The 22,704-nt window shown below is 38.9% G+C and overlaps 1 protein-coding gene across 10 annotated transcripts in view; it reads left to right on the top strand.

Annotated features, from left to right (window-relative positions):
• BICC1 (BicC family RNA binding protein 1) overlaps positions 1–22,704 on the top strand; it is a 319,216-nt gene that overhangs the window by 68,355 nt on the left and 228,157 nt on the right. For 2 of the 10 annotated variants that reach the window (XM_047425778.1, XM_017016678.2), the window contains exons 2-4: positions 7,641–7,740; positions 7,950–8,119; positions 9,448–9,518. The exons of 6 other annotated variants lie outside the window; for them this stretch is intronic. Coding sequence is in view for 2 of the 4 variants with exons in the window: in XM_017016678.2 (XP_016872167.1) it covers positions 9,473–9,518 (46 nt within the window). In the remaining 2 variants the exon portion in view is untranslated. Of the gene's footprint in view, positions 1–7,640; positions 7,741–7,949; positions 8,120–9,197; positions 9,519–22,704 lie in introns of those variants that run through there. 2 more of the 10 variants (XM_047425779.1, XM_024448174.1) reach the window with 2 other exon arrangements.

A 22,704-nucleotide genomic window follows, 5' to 3' on the forward strand; every position in this document is an offset into this window, starting at 1 on the left:
TTCAACCTGTATATAATACATTATTGTTGACTATTGGCACAGTGTTCTACAGATCTCTAGAGCTTATTAGAAGCTCTTAACTTAAACTTCATGCTTGTTGATTAATAACTTCCATTTCCCTGGATATTATGCTATGGAGTTTTTGGCTCTACCTGCTACCAGCTTTCCCTTCCCAATATCAAGCAATATTTTTATTAAATTTGAAAACCTCAGTTACCAATGGACTGCAAACAAACTCAGTGTATGAAGGAGCTAGTGGTTTTTAAAGCTCAAACCATATCAGAGGAATTTCATGTTTAGTAAATTTTAAAGTCTCCTTAGGATGTCTTAATGATGGGAGTAAAAACAGAAAAAATTATGTGACAACCTTTGTATTTTATTTAGAAAAGGTTTTAATCAGGGAAGAGGGGTTGGTATTCAGGTTTTGAAGTTATTTGTGTGTGAAAACTTACTAGATATGTCTAAGAATTTTATTTTCCTTTTAAAAATTAAATGATGACTTTATTTCTTGGTGTTTCAGTTTTCCATACTTATAAAGCAAAGGAAATAATAAGAATCTCTTTGTAGCTCTGCTTTTATAAGGATAACATAAAGTCTCAGATAATTGTGCCTACTACTCCTGAAGGAATTATATGTTGAGGCCTCTTTTTAAAAGTGTTAACTATTTTGAATAGTAGTGCTTTGCTAAATTTTGGTACTTAAAACAGAGCCACAAAAATTAAGTGGTAATAGTAATATTTATATTTAAAATATGTCAGTTTATGATGATATTAAGTTATTCAGTGGTCAGTTTATTCATCTATATACATGCTTAATATTATTTTTAAATGTTGTAGTGTTTTTGATCCATAGGATTTTGACTTTTCACATGCCTCTGTTTTATGATCCTTGAAAAGAAAAGAAAAAATCAAGGCACAACAAACTTAAAAAGCAGGAATTTTGTTCTATATTGGTGGAGAGGAGCAAATAGACTGATGTGAGATGTTAGAAATATTTAGGTGTTGACATCAATTGATAGATGTTGGTTATTTATCATACTGTAGTCTTAGTTAACAACATTAACGATCCACGTGTCTGTGGTCAGATCCTGGAGCCTCGCCTGCTGGGGATCGGTTTTTCCTAGACGCAATCATACTGTATTATAAATAAGAGGGAGAAAAGTGCTAAGGGGACCCCCTCCCTCCAATTTGGGAAGATTGAGAAAAGCACATCTGTTTGTTTTCAATGGATGAAATATGCACATGGCAAATTTCAGAAGATTAAAAAAAATACTTAAAAGTATATTAGTATTTTTTTCTCCATTCCTTTAATCATCAAATTCCTCTCTATCTCTCCTCCCCCATGTTACGATAACGGATTTTTTCAGGTTATTTTGTCCTCTCTCCCACCACCCCAAGGTCATCTGTGCATATACATGCATATGTATGTGTAACCTGTTTTGTTTTTAAAGCAAAATTGTAGCATTCTCTGCACTCTTTCCCTAGCTCCTTAGCTTTCAATTTTTGAAGATTGCTCCTTCTTAGTACTCATCCTTTCCAATATCCAGCTGGATGTACTAATATTATTTGGCTAGTATTCTCTTAGTGGACATTTCTGTTGGTTTTAGTGGATGTTAGGTTATGTGTATATTGAATTTCAAATGATATTACAGAATTGCTCTCTGTAAACTCTCCACTTTATATTTACAGCAATAATGAGTCATATTGCCTAGTTTTCTACATTCTTACTAACATGATGTGGTCTTTTTGACCTTTGTTAATCTAATAAATGAAAAATTGTATTTTAATGTAGTTTAAGTATTTCCTTTGAGGGAGGCTGAGCATAAATGAATACCTTTAACTATCAGGGTATTAGACTTGATCACCAACCACTCAGGTCCTTTTCTTTCCAGTTTATATTCTCTGTATTGATGGTGTTATAAATTCTTATTAGCTTCAGTTACTATCCACTTAGATGTCTCAAGGCCACTTGTATTTCCTATTGTTGCTGTAATAAATTACCACAACCTTAGTGGCTTAAACCAATACAAGGTGATTATCTTAGAATTATAGAGGTCAGAAGTCCAAAACAGATCTCACTGGGCTAAAATTAGAAAGTTGACAGAGCTGCGTTCCTTCTAGAAGCCCTGGGGGAGGTTCATTTCCTTGTCTTTCTCCAGCTTTTGGAGGCCACCTGCATCCCTTGGCTTGTGGCTCCTTCCTCCATTTTTAAAGCCAGCAGCAAAGCACCTGATTCTTCTGCCTTTCTCTTCCATCTTTTTAAGAACTCTTGTGATTGCATTGAGCCTACTCAGAGAACGCAGGATAATCTTATTTTTAGGCCAGCTGCTTAGCAATCTTACTTCCATCTGCAACCTTTATTCTCCCTCAACATGTAACCTAACATATTCATAGACTCCAGGGATTATGATGGAGGGGCCGTTATTCTGCCTACCACATGGCTTAAACTCCACATATCCAACACAGAATTCCATCACCCCACCCTAAACTTAGTCTTCCTCTAGTGTTCTGTGTCTTAATAAATGGTTCCTCTATCAGTTGAAGAAATAGATGTCTCCGAGTTGTTATTGTTGATTCTATCTTTGTCTTCCTCGCTTTCTAGATATAATCTATCATGAACTTTTATGGATTCTGCTGCCAAGGTAGATTTCTTAAAATTTTTTTTTATTTCAATAGGTTTTTGGGGAACCTTGGTGACATTTGGTTATATGGATAAATTCTTCAGTGGTGATTTCTGAGATCTTGGTGTACCCATCACCCAAGCAGTGTGCAGTCTTTTATCCCTCATCCCCCTCCCACCCTTCCCCTCGAGTCCCCAAAGTCCATTATAACATTCTTGTGCCTTTGCGTCCTCATAGCTTAGCTCCCACTTATAAGTGAGAACATAACGATGTTTGTTTTTTTCCATTCTTGAGTTACTTTACTTAGAACTGTGGTCTCTAATTCCATCTAGGTTGCTGCTAATGCCATTCTTTCTTCCTTTTTTATGGCTGAGTAGTATTCTCTCTCTCTGTGTGTGTGTGTGTGTGTGTGTGTGTGTGTGTGTGTGTGTGTACATACACACACATACCACATTTTCTTTATCCACTCATTGATTGATGGGCATTTGAGCTGATTCCATATTTTTGTAGTTGCAAATTGTGCTGTTATAAACATGTGTGTGAAAGGTCTTTTTCGTATTATATAATGACTTCTTTTCCTCTGGGTAGATGCCCAGTAGTGGGATTGCTGGATCAAATTGTAGATCTACTTTTAGATCTTAAGGAATCTCCACACTGTTTTCTACAGTGGTAGTACTAGTTTATACTCCCACCAACAGGATGGCCTTAAGTCATCCTCCTGCCTTGGCCTCCCAAAGCTCTGGAATTATAGGCATGAGCCACTGCACCTGGCCACTTTTTCTTCATAGCTATTGTTATGGTTTGTAATTGTAACTGTTTTGTTGAGTAGTTAAGTATCTCTACTCTGAATGTAAACATGAAACACACACACACACACACACACACACACACACACACACACACACAGTTTTTCAGTATTTTTTCTCACCTGCGCTATGTTGACATTCCCATTTCTGTGAGGTAGAATGTAGCATATTTCTTAATGATATCTCAACCAGATTTTATAGCTTTCCTTTATCGTTTCAGCATTTAAGACTCAATCCTCTTTATTTTACACCTTCTGTCTTCAAATTGGGGAAGGGAAGAAATGACCTCTCCCATGAATTCTGTTGTCCTCCAAAGGTAACCATACCCTGTGTTCTGAGCCCCCTTTTTGGACTGACTGAGGTTTGGGTGAAATGATGGTTGGTGGAATTAGGGCCGGTTCTGGTGCCTCCTACTAAACTCTGGGAGGAGGTGACTTCGGCAATATCTGGTGCGCTCCTCTGACTGCTCTGTGAATGTATATTGTGATGTGCTTAGGTCTGGGCCTTTGCTATAATTTCAGGATATGAGGATCATGGCTGGGATGCTATTACATAATTTGTTTTTGTGATTGTCAGAGAATTTTCCTTTTCCTCATTACACAGAAAGGTTCGTGAGTACAATAATGTATATCTATCTTTTCCCTTCATTTGTTTCTCAGTGGAGTGTGACTAGCTGTTCCAGTTTGTCCAACACTGAAGGGGTTTCCAAAGACATGGGACTTTTAATGCTGAAACTAGGAAACACCTGGGTAAATTGGGATGAGTTCATTAGTGTATTGCAGTGCCTTTTTTTTTTTTCTTAGCACAATGACAGTGACTGACAAAATGGTTATACAACATTTTTTGAAAAAACATGAGTGCGGAAGAGTTTTACAAAGACTAACCAGTCAAGTTATAAATGATTATAACCAATATTAATGATTGTGTATTTTTGTTTTACTTCATTAATAAAAATTTAGCATAAATAAAATTAGTCATTGTGCAGCCTCAGCTGTTTAGTGATTAATTTCCTTCACTTTAGGTTTCTAATTTACAATTATACCTGGCAAGTGGTAGGGAGTTGTACAGGTAGAGTATGAAAAGCAGAATTCAGTTGACTTAATGCTTTGTGAACCGGATCAATAATTTATTTGTAGTGTTGAATAAGACTAACATATTTAGGTAGCATTTCAGTATTGCTATTTTTTTCCCTTTTATTTTGAAAAGTTGTTTACTTTGGCAAGCAAGGCTTAGGTAGTCTGTGTGGTCTGTTCCTGTCCAACTGTGACACAAATCTTTGTGTGGCCATTGTCAAGTCACTTTTAAAAATCAGGTATGATTCAGTTGGTTGGTGCTGGTCACTTTTGAACAGTTCCTAAGGACGGGTGCTATCATTAGAAGATCCAATGATGAATGGGCCTCAACTCACAGTAAGTTTATACTTAAGGAAGTGATTTATACTATTTTCTGAATATGGTGATACAAATTAGGGTAAAAAAGATCAATGCTTATATTTTGATAAATTGAGAACTATTTTCTTTCTAGTTTCCCCTCCTATTTTTCTTTTTCCGTGATTGCAGTCTTCGGCATATGTGTGTCATACACCTCACAGGGGACCAGTGGATCTCATTGTGCATTCTCCCTCCTCCCCCAGAAAAACCTTATACTTCCCCTTTTCTTTAATAAGAAAGCACTGTGGTGAAGTGTGCTTTATGTTTTTTAGTGGAGTAATCAGAAAATGGATTATCTCAGATATGGACTTGTGAATTTGGTATAATTTCTTAATAATTATTAAGTTCATTTAATTGTAACAACTTCATATATTGTAGTGTAGGTATTATTCTCCCAATGTGTGACAGATGATGACGTACCTTCAGAGAGGTGGCCAAGGTAGATTGTGGTTGTATGTTAGCAGAAGTAGCACTTTTATTCTGAAAGGTAGGGGCTGGTATTCTACACATAAAATACACAGTATGTTAGTAGCCACATGAGTAGCTAATACTCATTTTAAGTGTTTTCCTCCAGCTAAACTTTATCAATTAAGAGACACTCTCACCTTATTATTTACAATTTTCTACACTGGAAAGTGATAGTTTATACATGCCAGTAGTAGAAAAAAATGTAAGCATTTGTAGTTTCCTTCGTGAGGACTAAATCCATTCTAAGCAGAATCCTAAAAATGTGACTTCCTTCTTTGATTCTTTTGTTTCTTAACCCATTTATTCATCCATCCATCCATCCATCCAGTATTATTATTATATGTCTGCTACATTTCAGATATTGTCAAAGATTGAGGGATTGGTGGGTCAAAGAAATGAGGTGATTAAGACCCAATCCCTGTTTTATATGAAGTCAAGCTCTACAAGTTGCATGTTCTTGGTAATCTCTTACTGACTACCAATTGACTTTCTAAATATTTGCTGAGTACTTTCTCCGTGTCAGGCACTGCTGTTAACAGTGGAATACAAAGTGAATAAGATTCATGCAGAGTACTTCCTGTAATACCAGCTACTCGGGTGGCTGAGGCACGAGAATCACTTGAACCGGGGTTGGGGGCGGGGGGGCGCGGAGGTTGCAGTGAGCGGAGATTGTGCCACTACCCTCCAGCCTGGGCAACAGAGAGAGACTCACTCTCTCTCAAAAAAAAAAAAAACAAAAAAAAACCTCATACAGAGTTCCTATGTTCACATATACATACCCACACACACTATATCCACAGACATGCATACTACAGACTACATACATATACATGCAAATGAATATATGTATACATAGGCAGAAAGCATGCAGTTACATTCCCATAAACATATGGATATCATCTGGAAATATGTATGTTTATGTGTCTGCAAGTGCGTGTAAATCAATGAGCTCATTGAACTGAGGGTGATTTCAGGAATCAGGCATCAACCAATATTATGAACTTGTAGCCAGGTTCTTCTCTGGCCTCGTTTGCCCATTTGTTCTCTATGGGAGAGACACAGGGATTAGTTAGCCTGCTGACAGCTATGGGTTTTGTGTGTCCTGTGCTGAGGATAAGAATGTTCTTTACTGTGGGTGGCCTAATTAAAGCCTCATGAATATTGAGTGCCACGTATGTCTCATATATAATTTGTGCAGCATGAATATTTAGTGCCTCAGGTGCCTCATGCATATTTAGTGCCTCATGAATTTTAGAAGCTTCTTGGTCCTTCCGTCTTCTTCTGTGTTCATGCATACGTGTTCTGCTTGCTTTACCTAATAGGTTTCATTACTTATCTATGCTTAACACATTTTATGAGCTTCATCTATCCCATGTATTTTCCTGTCTTATTGATCATAGTTTCTTGTCCTATTAAGCAGAATTGAATTTTCTCCAGCACTATAGCAAATTTACATTACATCTGTCCATTTGGAAAGCCTATGGCCCAGATGCTTTATGGAAAAGAAAGCTATTTTTAATATTCAGAATTTCAAGTCAGTACATACACTTACAGATATTTTCCAGTGTAGGACTTTTCGTAAAATCTTTAGCATAATAAAGCTCAAAATTGATTTAACAATCTAGAAAAAGTATTCTTGAGGAATTCATTCATGCTAGTTTATGGTTTTGCTTAAAGCTTGTGGTTGGAGATGGTAAGGAAGGAGAAGGTAATATTCCTTACTGGCTTGGGGGTTTTGAACTTTAACTGGCCAGCTTTAGCCCTCTATGTTGTAAACATTTTTGATGTAGTTACAATTCAAAGTTATGGCATATGGAAATGTTCTATTGTAGGATAAAGTGGCGGAGTAGTATAAATAGGGTTTGGCTGGCTAAAAAGCTCCATTTATTCTGACTTTGAGTCAGTTACCCATTAAGCTTATGGGTTTCGAGTAACCTAGGGGTGTGTTTAAGGTTAGTAGTAATTGACAGGGTTGTTTGTATTTTCTGTGTATTGTGGGAGGAAGTTCATTCCATTTCATGATTAATGGTCAGGAAGGGACTTCTAGGATTTGGTGTTTCATCTTCCACCATTGAAGAGGATCTCATTTAGATTGTTGAAGAAGATATCTTTGAACAGACACATCAGCCATCCTGCATATATTTAGGGAAGTGGTACACAAAGTGGTTCATGTACAGAAATGCTTTTCCATTGTGATTGACACCAAAATAAACTTGCTGAAATTGAAGAATCATAAAAAATATATGCTCTATGTATCTTATTCCCTTCAAATATTAGTATGTATTTATTCATGACCCCTGCCCCTTTTATTTACAGGGACAAGGCCTTTTCTGAATATGAGAGGCTGACTAGAAATATGTATTTTGTGATTATTTATTTGACAAACACATTTGGGGACAAACACAGTTGAACCTTGGTAAGTAGATGATACATCTGGTGGTGGGAGCAGAGGTGCTGGCGGGTGCATGGGTGTATCTTGTTAAACCGAGTATTTGGGGTCCTCATATGCATCAGTCACTTTGTTTTACAGGAAGGGAGAGTGGCAGTGATGTGAAGGTTGAAACTGTGTTAGAGCTGCTTCTGCATTTCATACTTTCATTCTTTTTTGTCTACCTTGAATTCCAGCTTAGATCTCTACTGCATGCCAGTGATGGAGAGGGAAGAAAGGCATTTCTTGTATTGGAGGCTCTTGTTTGTGGCATTCTGGAGCCATTTAAACAGGCAGGGGCTGGCAGCCTGAGGACTGTTCTCTAGTGGATCCAGCTCCAGAGGGTGCTGTGCACACGATGTCACAGGTACCATGTGGCTTTAAGGTAGTAAAAACGCATCCCTATGTTGCTTTGAGTATACAAAAATAGTTAACATCCAATATCGAGTGCCAGGCCCCAGGCTAAGCACACTGCGTGAAGGAGCACATTTGATTTTCATGGCATTGGATGGCATAGCAGACTTGGCCACACCTCTTGCGACTCACCATCCTGTGTCAGGATGGCTACTGCAAGCACCAGGTAGAGTGACCAGCTGTCTCCCTTTGCCCTGATCTCAGGGTTGTCCAGAGAGTCTGAGTTTTTAGTGCTAAAAGGAGGGTGAGTTGGTCACCCTAGTCCCTGTGACTGCTGTCCAAGGACACCGGCAGCCAAGGAACCTCTCTCACAGTGGATGCTGCCCTCTACCGGTGACACCGGTGACGGTGATTGGTGGGTGAATACCATCTCTGCAGTCTCCGAGAGTTCCCCTGCAGAATTCGTCCTGTGGCCCACAGAGAGAACCCACTCACACGCTCATCCATGTAGGATTCCCTCTTTGCTCTTTTGCATTTCACTTTCTCACCTCCCTACCAGCGCCTCCGGGGATCACCTTCTGCATAAATGACTTTCACTCAGGTACTTGTCACAGGGTCAGCTTCTGGGGGAATCCAGTCTAAAACACATGGGTAGAACTGCTTTACTACCATTTCACATAAGAGGAAACTGAGGTGTGGGGAGGTTAAATAATTTTGCTCAAAATTGTACAGCTGGCACACAGAGCTAATAATTCTTAGTTATTAAGTTATACAGCTTTACTTTTTTTTTTTTTAGTTTTTAATTTTTTGAGACAAGATCTCACTTTGTCACTCAAGCTGGAGTGCAGTGGTGCAGTCATGGCTCACTGCAACCTTGAATGCCTGGGGTCAAGCTATTCTCTTGCCCCAGCCTCCCAAGTAGCAGGGACTAGACGTGCATGCCACCATGCCTGCTGATTTTGTTCTTTAATTTTTGGTAGAGACAAGGTCTCGCTATGTTGTCCAGGCCAGTCTTGAACTCCTGGTCTCAAGTGATCTTCATGCCTCGGCTCCCAAAACAATAGGATTACAGGCATGAGCCACTGTGCCCAGCCATTACAAATTTTTTAAATTATTATTATTATTTTTTTTAGTGATGGGGTCTCATTATGTAGCCCAGGTTGGAGTGCAGTGGCTATTCATAGGCATGGTCATAGTGCACTGCAGCCTTGAACTCGTGGCCTCAAGCGATCGTCCTGCCTCAGCCTCCCGAGTAGCTAGGACCATATATGCACACCCCTTTGCCTGGCTTAAGTTATACAGCTTTTGTTCCTATCCTCACCCATGTGTATTTATTTCCAGGAAATCTACAATTTCATTTATTCATATGGGATTAACAATAAGCTATCATCAGTCCAGTGGGGTTATGAATGGTATGTTATTATTCTATCTCTACTAAATTCATTGAGCATGGAGCAGAAGTCTTGATTTTAATGGACTTAGGGGAGTTTGATGGGACTGTTTTTATGAAGGAGAAATTTGTCTTTTATACATAAGTTGCCAAAACCAGTGCTGTTGCTGACTAAGGACTAAGTGCCTATCCCTTGCCTAGCTATGCGCAGTCTGGCCTTGACTGGAAGCAGGAATCGTGACATCTCTGACCAGATTGGATGTAAACTGCCTGCTTGTGCTAAGGAGTTGTGTCTGCTGGTTCTTGGCTCCCATCCTAGAGTTCTCTATGAAATGACTCATTATAAGGAAGTCTATTAAAAACAAATCTCTCCCCATTTTAGAGTATCTCTTAAAATTTCTTCTTAATAAGAGAATTTTGGTGCTTTCAGTTCCAGTTAGTGCCAAGAAATTTGAAGTGTGTATTGAAGAAGGCTATGATAATTACAGTACTTGAATTTCTTGTAAAGATAGATGCTTTGGGAAGTGAGTGTATTTCCCTTTTATTTGAAAGACAGAAGCTTGGAAATTCTACCAGACTTAAAAAAAAATTTTTCTCTCACTGCAAATCCACAGCCTAATGGAAAGTGCTCCAAGTTTCTCTAGTGAAAGTGGCTTCACTTACCTCAGCATTTAAGATCCTTCCCCATTGTTGTAGTTTTATAGGTATTTTAGATTATCTATTTAAAAAGGCAGCTGCCTGTCAAATGATCCACATAAATAAAATAAGATTGTGCAGAAGTGTAGAATATAACCACATGCCAATCCTTAGGAAACAGTGGGAAATGTTTTACTTTAAAAATGTAGGGTTTTGCTTTTACAAAACTGATCTTTGACCACCGGTTCTCTCAGGCTTTGCCTTTTCTAGTTCAATGATCTTTTCTACTAGTTCCCCCCTCCCTTCCCTCAAAGGCCTGAATAGACACTTCCCAGTTTGGGAAATAGACCTTCATTAGTTACACCTGGCTCAGCATTTTTTTTTCTTTTCTGCACATCTGCTTAGCATCATGTATTTGAAGGTGCCACATACATGTTTGCTAACGTTGCTTTAGATGCTGTTGAGTCATAAGAAGATAAGCAGTGCTAGGGAGGATTCAGTCCAGCTTGATATTCTTCTCCACAAGTGTGACTTGGGTAGGGAAAGGGGGACACTTTCTTTGGTCAAGACGGAAAAACAGATTCATGTTACCTGTCATTAGCATAGTAAAAACTATGGGAAATGTCTTAGTCCATTCCGGCTGCTATAACAAAATACCATCAACTGGGTGGTCTATAATGAACAAAAATTCCCACTTCTGGAGGCTGGGAAGTCAAAGATCAAGCGTCTGGCCTTCAAAGATGTGCCTTCTCTGTAACCTCACATGATGGAAGGGGCAAAGGACCTCTCTAGGTTCTCTTTTATAAGGGCACTAATCCCACTCTTGAATGCTTCCTCACATGACCTAACCACCTCCTGAAGACCCCACCTATTGATAAGTATCATTACCTTGGGAGTTAGGTTTTCAACATATGAATTTTGGGAGATACAGGCATTCAGACCACAGTGGAAAATTAAGCTTAACTGATGGGGAGATTTAGGAGATGCAGTGAGAGAGCTTTGTTGTGCTGTGTGCTCTGTTCTCTCAATATTATGATTTTAGGAAGGCCATTGCCTTCTCAAGAGTTTAGGTATGTGCTGCAAGCACTCAGCTTTTTATAATTTACATCCTTCCTCTACGGATGGTTGAATGAATGAATTGCTCTGAATTCTTGTACCTATTTCTATTTCTGGCCTGTGCAATTGAGTTTAATGTTCGCTAACCACATATAAAGTTGTGCTTAGCAATGTTTCTCAAGTGGTGTTGTTTATTGTTTTTCTAGATTATATAGAGTAATACAGAATATACTTTCCAGAATATGACACATCTTTGTATTCTCTCCATACCTTTTATAATTTTATAAATGTGATTTTATAATGTTTTTAACTTATCCTTGCTGCAATGAAAATTTCCACAACAAAGTTTATTAGAGGAAAAACATACATTTTACTTACTGTATTAATTACCCTTATTTGAAGACGGTTTTTTGTTATGTGTTGTGATGAGAAATAACAAGCAGTATTCCCTGTATAGCCGAGTATTACTTTTGGCTAAAGTTAGGATAATGTTCTTTGCCCTATTTTGTCATTGCCCATTTTTTCTTCTTGTTAGGGAGGCAGAGGTGGTGGTGGAGACAACTGGGAACAGCTAGAACTGAGTTAATATCTTTAGAGAATAGTCTGCTATGACATTGTTTTTGTTTCCCTCTATAAACCCTTCAAATAATTTTTAAGAAATTCCTCTGGGCCAGTCGCAATGGCTCAGACCTGTATTCCCAGCACTTTGGGAGGCCGAGGCAGGCGGATCACGAGGTCAGGAGATCGAGACCATCCTGGCTAACACGGTGAAACCCCGTCTCTACTAAAAATACAAAAATTAGATGGGCGTGGTTGGTGGCGGGTGCCTGTAGTCCCAGCTACTTGGGAGGCTGAGGCAGGAGAATGGCGTAAACCCAGGAGGCGGAGGTAGCAGTGAGCCAAGATCATGCTACTGCACGCCAGCCTGGGTGACAGAGTGAGACTCCGTGTGAAAAAAAAAAAAAATAGCTGGGCCTGTTGGCGTGCACCTGTAGTCCCAGCTACTCAGGAGGCTGAAGCAGAAGAATTGCTTGAACCCGGGAGGTGGAGGTTGCAGTGAGCCGAGATCGCACCACTGCACTCAAGCCTGGCCACAGAGCAAGACTCCGTCTCAAAAAAAAAAAAAAAAAAAAAAAAAAAATCCTCTGCATTGAGAGCCAAGTGTTCGGGCTCGGTGGGTCTTACCCTGACAGAGCCCAGCACACTAAGATCCACTGGCTTGAAATTCTCGCTGCCAGCACAACAGCAGTCTGAGATTGACTGGGACGTTCGAGCTTGGTGTGGGGAGGGGTGTCCTCAGCAATGGTCCACCATTGCCTATGCTTGAGTAGACTGTTTTACACTCACAGTGTAAAAAAAGCCACTGGGAAGTTCGAACTGGGTGGAGCCCACTGCAGCTCAGCAAGGCTGCTGTGGCCACACTGCCAGATTTCCTTTCTCTGGGCAGGGCATCTCTGAAAAAAAGGAAGCAGCCCAGGTCAGGAACTTACAGATAAAACCCCCATCTCCCTGGAACAGAGCACCTAGGGAAGTGGGTGGCTGTGGGCACAGCTTCAGCAGAATTAATGTCCCTGCCTGACAGTTCTGAAGAGAGCAGTGGACCTCCCAGCACAGTGTTCAAGCTCTGCTAAGGGTCAGACTGTTTCCTCAAGTGGGCCCCTGACCCCCTTGTATCCTGACTGGGAGACACCTCCCAGTAGGGGCCGACAGACACCTTATATAGGAGAGCTCTGGTTGGCATCTGGCAGGTGCCCCTCTGGGACGAAGCTTCCAGAGGAAAGATCAAGCAGCAATCTTTGCTGTTCTGCAGCCTCCCCTGGTAATACCCAGGCAAACAGGGTCGGGAGTGGACCTCCAGAAAACTCCAGCAGACTGGCAGCAGAGGGGTCTGACTGTCAGAAGGAAAACTAACAAACGGAAAGAAATAGCACATCCACTCAAAGACCCCATCCGAAGGTCACCAACACCAAACACCAAAGGTAGATAAATCCACAAAGATGGGTAGAAACCAGCGCAAAAATGCTAAAAATTCCAAAAACCAGAACGCCTCTTCTCCTCCAAAGGATCACAACTCCTTGCCAGCAAGGGAACAAAACTGGACGGAGAATGAGTTTGACAAATTGACAGACGTAGGCTTCAGAAGGTGGGTAGTAACAGACTCCTCCAAGCTAAAGGAGCATGTTCTAACCCAATGCAGGGAAGCTAAGAACCTTTAAAAAAGGTGAGACGAATTGCTAACTAGAATAACCAGGGTAGAGAAGAACATAAATGACCTGCTGGAGCTGAAAAACACAGCACAAGAACTTCATGAAGCATACACAAGTATCAGTAGCCGAATCCATCAAGCAGAAGAAAGGATATCAGTGATTGAAGATCAACTTAATGAAATAAAAAGAGGAGACAAGATTAGAGAAAAAAGGATAAAAAGGAATGAACAAATCCTCCAGGAAGTACAGGACTGTGTGAAAAGACTAAATCTACATTTGATTGGTGTACCTGAAAGTGACGAGGAGAATGGAACCAAGTTGGAAAGCACTTTTCAGGATATTATCCAGGAGAACTTCCCCAACCTAGTAAGACAGGTCGACATTCAAATTCAGGAAATACAGAGAACACCATAAAGATACTCCTTGAGAAGAGCAACCCTAAGACACATAATTTTGAGATTCTCCAAGTTGAAATGAGGGAAAAAATATTAAGGGCAGCCAGAGAGAAAGGTCAGGCTACCAACAAAGGGAAGCCCATCAGACTAACAGCGGATCTCTCCGTAGAAACCCTACAAGCCAGAAGAGGGTAGGGGCCAATATTCAACATTCTTAAAGAAAAGAATTTTCAACCCAAAATTTCATATCCAGCCAAACTAAGCCTCATAAGTGAAGGAGAAATAAAATCCTTTATAAACAAGCAAATGCTGAGAGATTTTGTCACCACTAGGCCTGCCTTACAAGAACTCCTGAAGGAAGCACTAAAAATGGAAAGGAACAACTGGTACCAGCCACTGCAAAAACATATGAAATTGTAAAGACCATCGACAACATAAAGAAACTGCATCAACTAATGAGCAAAACAACCAGCTAGCATCATAATGACAGGATCAAATTCACACATAACAATATTAACCTAAATGTAGGCTAAATGCCCCAATAAAAAGATGCAGACTGGCAAATTGGATAAAGAGTCAGACCCATCAGTGTGCTGTATTCAGGAGACCCACCTCAGGTACAAAGACACATATAGGCTCAAAATAAAGGGATGGGGGAATATTTACCAAGCAAATGGAAAGCAGAAAAAGCAGGAGTTGCAATCGTAGGCTCTGATAAAACAGACTTTAAACCAACAAAGATCAAAACAAAGAAGGCCATTACATAATGGTATAGGGATCAATGCAGCAAGAAGAGCTAACTATCCTAAATATATGTGCATCCAACACAGGAATACCCAGATTCATAAAGCAAGTTCTTAGAGACCTGCAAAGAGACTTAGACTCCCACACAATAATAGTGGGAGATTTTAACACCCTACTGTCAATATTAGACAGATCAACGAGACAGAAAATTAACAAGGATATTCAGGACTTGAACTTAGCTCTGGACCAAGTGGACCTAATAGACATCTACAGAACTCTCCACTGCAGATCAACAGAATATACATTCTTCTCAGCACCACATCACACTTATTCTAAAATTGACCATGTAATTGGAAGTAAAACACTCCTCAGCAAATGCAAAAGAATGGAAATCATAACGAACAGTCTCTCAGACCACAGTGCAATCAAATTAGAACTCAGGATTAAAAAACTCACTCAAAACCACACAACTACATGGAAACTGAACAACTTGCTCCTAAATGACTGCTGGGTAAATAACGAAATTAGGCAGAAATAAAGATGTTCTTTGAAACCAATGAGAATGAAGACGCAACATACCAGAATCTCTGGGACACATTTAAAGCAGTGTGTAGAGGGAAATTTTATAGCACTATGGCCACAGGAGAAAGCAGGAAAGAGCTAAAATTGACACCCTAATGTCAAAATTAAAAGAACTAGAGAAGCAACAGCAAACAAATTCAAAATTTAGCAGAAGACAAGAAATAACTAAGATCAGAGCAAAACTGAAGGATATAGAGACATGAAAAACTCTTTAAAAAATCAGTGAATCCAGGAGCTGATTTTTTGAAAAGATCAACAAAATAGATAGACTGCTAGCCAGACTAATAAGAAAGGAGAGAAGACTCAATTAGACACAATAAAAAATGATATAGGGGATATCACCCCTGATCCCACAGAAATACAAACTACTATCAGAGAATAGTATAAACACCTCTGTGGAAATAAACTAGAAAATCTAGAAGAAATGGACAAATTCTTGGACACATACACCCTCCCAAGGCTAAACCAGGAAGAAGTTGAATCCCTGAATAAACCAATAATAAGTTCCGCTCAACTTGTTTGAGGGATCAAGTTGGCTTTGCCCCTGGGATGCAAGGCTGGTTCAACATACACGAATCAATAAATGTAATCCATCACATAAGCAAAACCAATCACAAAAACCATGTGATTACCTCAATAGATGCAGAAAAGGCCTTCAACAAATTCAGCACCCCTTCATGCTAAAAACTCTGAATAAACTGAGTACCCATGGAATGTATCTCAAAATAATAAGAGCTATTTATGACAAACCCACAGCCAATATCATAGTAAATGGGCAAAACTGGAAGCATTCCCTTTGAAAACCAGCACAAGACAAGGATGCCCTCTCTCACCACTCCTATTCAACATAGTATTGGAAGTTCTGGCCAGGGCAATCAGGCAAGAGAAATAAAGCGTATTCAAATAGGAAGAGAGGAAGTCAAATTGTCTCTGTTTGCAGATGACATGATTGTGTATTTAGAAAACCCCATCATCTCAGCCCCAAATCTCCTTAAGCCGATAAGCAACTTCAGCAAAGTCTCAGGATACAAAATCAATGTGCAAAAATCACAAGCATTCCTATACACCAGTAACAGACAGAGAGCCAAATCATGATTGAACTCCCATTCACAATTGCTACTAAGAGAGTAAAATACCTAGGAATACAACTTACAGAGAATGTGAAGGACCTCTTCAAGGAGAACTATAAACCACTGCTCAAGGAAATAGGAGAGGACACAAACAAATGGAAAAACATTCCATGCTCATGGATAGGAAGAATCAATATTGTGAAAATGGCCGTACTGCCCAAAGTAATTTATACATTCAATGCTATCCCCATCAAGCTACCACTGACTTTCCATACAAAATTGGAAAAATCTACATAAAACTATTGGGGGAACCCACCCCCAATATTTCAATGTAAGTTCTTTCTATTTTCTATAAGTGTCAGCTGGCTGAGAAATAAAGACAGTACAAAGAGAGCAATTTTACAGCTGGGCCGCCAGGGGTGACATCACATATCAGTAGGACATCACATGTCAGGTAGGAATCACCATGATTCCTGCCTGAGTCTCAGACCAGCAAGTTTTTATTAAGGGTTTCAAAAGGGGAGGGGGTGTAAGAACAGGGAGTAGGTACAAAGATCACATGCTTCAAAAGGCAAAAAGCACAACTACTAGTAAGGGTCTAACACAGATCACATGCTTCTGAGGGAACAGGACAAAGGGCAAAAGCAGAACTACTGATAAGGGTCCAACAAAGATCACAAGGCAAAGAGCAAAAGCAGAACTACTGATAAGGGTCTGTGTTCAGTGGTGCACATATTGTCTTGATAAACATCTTAAACAGCAGAAAACAGAGTTTGAGAGCAGAGAACCAGTGTGACCACAAATTTACCAGGGCAGAGTTTCCCAACCCTAGTAAGCCTGAGGGTACTGCAGGAGACCAGGGGGTATCTCAGTCCTTATCTCAACCACATAAGACAGACATTCCCAAAGCAGCCGATTATTGACCTCCCCCCAGGAATGCATTCCTTTCCCAGGGTATTAATATTAATATTCCTTGCTAGGAAAAGAATTTAGCGATACCTCTCCTACTTGCACATCCGTTTATAGGCTCTCTGCAAGAAGAAAAATATGGCTCTTTTTGCCCAACCCCGCAGGCAGTCAGACCTTATGGTTGTCTTCCCTTGTTCCCTAACAATCGCTGTTATTCTGTTCTTTTTCAAGGTGCACTGATTTCATATTGTTCAAACACACATGTTTTACAATCAATTTGTACAGGTAACACAGTTATCACAGTGGTCCTGAAGTGACATACATCCTCAGCATATGAAGATAACAGGATTAAGAGATTAAAGACAGCCATAAGAATTACAAAAGTCTTATTTGGGAACTGATAAATGTCCATGAAATCTTCACAATTTATGTTCCTCTGCTGCAGCTCCAGCTGGTCCCTCTATTCAGGGTCCCTGACTTCTCACAACATAAAACTTCATATGGAACCAAAAAAGAGCCTGCATAGCCAAGACAGTCCTGGGCAAGAAGAACAAATCTGGAGGCATCACGCTACCTGATTTCAAACTATACCACAAAACGACAGTAACTGAAACAGCATGTTACTGGTACCAAAACAGAGATATGGACCAATGGAACAGAACAGAGGCCTCAGAAATAATACTGCACATCTACAACCATCTGATCTTTGACAAACCTAACACAAACAAGCAATGGGGAAAAGATTCCCTATTTAATAAATGTTGTTGGGAAAACTGGCTAGCCATATGCAGAAAACTGAAACTGGACCCCTTCTTTACACCTATACAAAAATCAACTCAAGCTGGGTCAGAGACTTAACTGTAAGACCTAGGACCATAAAAATCCTAGAAGAAAACCTGGGCAATACCATTCAGGACATAGGCATGGGCAAAGACTTCATGACTAAAACACCAAAAGCGATGGCAACAAAAGCCAGAATTTACAAATGGGATCTAATTAAATTAAAGAGCTTCTGCACAGCAAAAGAAACTATCATCAGAGTGAACAGGCAACCTACAGAATGGGAGAAAATTTTTACACTCTATGCATTGACAAAGGGCTAATACTCAGAATCTACAAAGAGCTTAAACAAATTTACAAGAAAAAAACAACCCCATAAAAAAATGGGCAAAAGATATGAACAGACACTTCTCAAAATAAGACATTTATGCGGCCAACAGACATATGAAAAAATGCTCATCATTACTGGTCATTAGAGAAATGCAAATCAAAACCATAATGAGATACCATCTCACACCAGTTAGAATGGCGATCGTTAAAAAGTCAGGCAACAACAGATGCTGGAGAGGATGTGGAGAAATAACCCTTTTACACTGTTGGTGGACGTGTAAATTAGTTCAACCATTGTGGAAGACAGTGTAGCAATTCCTCAAGGATATAGAACCAGAAATACCATCTGGCCCAACAATCCCATTACTGGGTATATACCCAGAGGATTATAAATCATTCTACTATAAAGACACATGCACACATATGTTTATTGTGGCACTGTTCACAATAGCAAAAACTTGGAACCAACCCAAATGTACCTCAATAATAGACTGGATAAAGAAAATGTGGCACATATACACCATGGAATACTAGGCAGCCCTAAATAGGGACGAGTTCATTTCCTTTGCCAGGACGTGGATGAAGCTGGAAACCATCATTCTCAACAAACTATCACAAGAACAGAAAACTAAACACTGCATGTTCTCACTCATAAGTGGGAGTTGGACAGTGAGAACACATGGACATAGGGAGGGGAACATCACACACTGCGGCTTGTCAGTGGGTGAAGGGCTAGAGGAGGGATAACATTAGGAGAAATACCTAATGTAGGTGATGGGTTGTTGGGTGCAGCAAACCACCATGGCATGTGTATACCTATGTAACAAAACTGCACGTTCTGCACATGTACCCCAGAACTTAAAGCATATTAATAAAAAAAATTCCTCTGAATTTTCTTTTACTTGTCCTCTTTCTCTCTCCTTAATCCTACCCAGAAAGGGGTTGGGGACAGTACCAGATCAGTGTGGATTACCTGTTCAAGGCACATCTCTATGAAAAAATTCTGAGACCAGTTTTTGTCCTTTTTAAGAGTGGGAGGGTGATGTAAGAGAGAGACTTTTTTCTTATGGGATCTGATTGTCCCCCAAACATCACTCCTGCTCTGACTAACATGATTTTAATTGTCTTTCACAAAATCTAACTAAAGAGGGTGTGTGTGTGTGTGTGTGTGTGTGTCAGTGGGAACATCTTGTGTTTGTATTCTGTGATTCATTACTTTTTGGAAGTTATTTGGACAAAGATTGTCAAGAATTGCTTCAAAATGCATCCCACTGATGCTCACGTTCTCGTTTCCTAATTGCTGATGGGGAAGCTTTTGCTCCTCCTGTTGTAGTCACTGCTTCTGCCCATGTGTGTTGGGGGCTCCTCACAGTTCATACAGCAGCACTGTTTTGAGACATCAGCTCCCAGCCCTTACTGTTACAACATGCATGTCACATAGCACCCCGTTTTTCAAAATCATTTTTGTTGGCTTGTGATTATCCTCATAAAAGGTGCTTAATTGGAAGCCTCACAGCTGTAGCTTTCTGTTTATAGCCACTGAGTAGGTACAGTTAAGCTGACTGCATTTTACGTGTTGTGAGCCACGGCCCGGGAATGGAGAGATTCAGGCTGTCTCTAAGACAGAGCTATGGGGAGAAGCTGTACACGACTTACTGGAAGGTAAGCATTCAGGCTTAGACAGTTGAAGAACTTGGTCAAGATGTGCTGTTTTGTACATTCATTTTGACTTTGTTAAACTTAAAATATCCTTTGGAAATGAAACTTTTCTTTACTAGATTTAGTTAGATATATGAGTGAATACAAATTCATATAATATAGTTGACTCTTGAATACTATGAGTTTGAACTGTATGGGTCCACTTATGTGTGGATTTTCTTGCACCTATGCCACCCCTGAGACCTCAAGACCAACTCTCTTCTTCTGCCTCCTTCTCAGCCTGCTCAGTGTGCAGGTAATGAGGATGAAGAACTTTATGATGATCCACTTCCACTTAATGAATAGTAAATGTGATTTTCTAATAATATTTTCTCTAGCTTACTGTATTTTAATAATACATTATATAATACATGTAACATAGAAAATATGTTTTAATCAGCTGTTTATGCTATCTGTAAGGCTTCCAGTCAGTAGTAGGGTACTAGTAGCTAAGTTTTAGGGGAGTGAAAAGTTGTACGTGGATTTTCTACTTCCAAAGGTAGTTGCTGACCCAACCCCTGTGTTGTTTAAGGGTCAACTAGAATCCTTTTTTTCTCACAAATGGATAATTTAAAATAGAATTAGACTTGATAAGAACACTTCACTAGTTTTTACTTGGGTATTTATGTGTGTACATACTTTTTAGGCAGTCATTTTAAAACTTATATATATATATATATATATATATATATATCTCCCAATAAAATTTGGAAAATAAAAAAAATTTAATATAATCATACTCTTCCCTGGCATACACATTTTGATCTTGTGATGAATGTTCCTAGTTTTTATGTGTTTATTTAAAGAATAATAGTTACAATCATGTTTCACATGTAATTTTATAATCCACTTAAAAATCATGCCTTATTTTCTTTTTTATGCAGTTTATCATAATCATTTTTCCTTATTGCTTCAAAGAGTTTTGCAAATCCAAATCATCTTTTCAAATGACCTTAAAATGTTTGAAAAAGTGTCTATATCTAAATTTTCTTAATTCCCATATTGGTTTTTCCTTGTTTTTGCTTATTATGTGTATTACTAAGATGACATGTTTGTGGCAGTAGTTTTTCTTCTTTCTCTTCTTACTTGGATTATATTTTTAAGACCTAGACTCTTAGAAATAGAATTACTGGATCAAGTACATGGAAACTATAGTTATTCTTTATATAAACCAAATTATTCTTCAAAATGGTTGTGTGAATTTACACTTCCGCCATTGTACAAACACTACATCATTACTAGTGCTTATGATATTACTGAATCTCAGGGTTATAATTATATAAATTATACAATCTTCAACTGAGGTAAAATCTTTTAAGTTACCTGGGAAAATACACCATTTAAAAAAGGATGGATTCAAGGGTTGTATCTTGAATTGAAGATCAAAAATTTATTTTCAAATCTTTCTCGAATTAATCTAAGCAGATTTAGCAAAATTAGAAAGATATTCTAGAGAATGTTTACATTATATATTTCAGGATAGGTGTCTCAGCCATGAAGATCCAGAACTTGATAGAGCATTGCCAACTATTAAAGAGAATAAACTTTTATTACCTTTTTAGAAGGACTTGAATATTTTGAGGCTGGTGAATAAATGAGGCCTGAAACATTTAAGTTTCTTGAATTTAAGAAGAAAAATGAGTTTAAGCTTTCCAAAGTAAACAAAGTAGGAAAAGCAGCTGAGAAGATAGAACTGTTCAAGATAATAATACTTATAGGACCACTATGCAACTGTAGCAGATTCATTTTAATTGAGATAGAATTTGACTCCTTAACCAAAGTTACAATTCTGGGAATAAGAATAAAGTTATGGCTTAGAGTATGACCAATGTGTTTGCATCATAAATGTACGCACATATTTTTTGAAAGGAAATCGAGGTAACATTATGTTATAACTTTTATGCTAGGCCAAAGACTATTACCTAAAAATTACTCTTCAAGCATTGTTTGAAATGAAAACCATATTTAAAGGTGGTTTGCTGCCTACTGATGAAAAATGAATTCATGTTAAGAAACCAAGGACTTTAAACGGAATAAATTATAATCAGATGTTAGATTTAGACCAGCTTTAACAAAAACAAATGATTCTTTTCAGAGATGAAAACTGATGGCTTAGCCCTCAAAGCATCTATCTTTTTTCAAACTAAATGTCTTGAGAGAAGGGGATCTGCTTAATTTCATAAAAGTAGGTGTGTGATTTATCAGCAGCAAATTGCTGAGTTTAAGAAATAAGAACTTCCCTAACTCCCCTAAATGTTTCCCTAGGCCTTCTAAATGAGAATACTTTGATTTGTAGTAACTTGATTATGCAAAGCTATATTTTGCAGAAGGTTAAAACAGGACCCATTGGGATCATAGACCAGATCCCTTCTGAATGATGACCCTTGCTGCCTTTGTTTGCATGTCCACACTTACTCCGTAAACCTCTGGATTATAGACTTGGTCTTCTTGAGTAAAGAAAATCCTCCAGTTCCACTGGACACCTGCTGATTTACTTTAGCACTTCAGGCCTCTTTTAATGAGATGCAGTATGAGACAGTCTTAGGGCTCAAAAGGCATTTAATAGATCAAGTTTAGAATATTTTAATGTTAAAATGTCTATCAGTGACTGCTTCTACCATCCTTCATTTCACCTTGAAAAACAGCTCTTTTAGGTCATAATGAGTTGTGCTAAACACTGAGAGCAAATTTGAATCTCTTACTTGCCTCAGAGTAATTAAAAGAGAGAATTGTTTCCTCACATTTCTCTGTAATCATGGGGTTAAGTTAAATATGGGATAGATGGTAATGAGTACAACTAG

This window comes from Homo sapiens, chromosome 10, assembly GCF_000001405.40.
Source record: "Homo sapiens chromosome 10, GRCh38.p14 Primary Assembly".
Classification (NCBI taxonomy): Eukaryota; Metazoa; Chordata; class Mammalia; order Primates; family Hominidae; genus Homo; species Homo sapiens.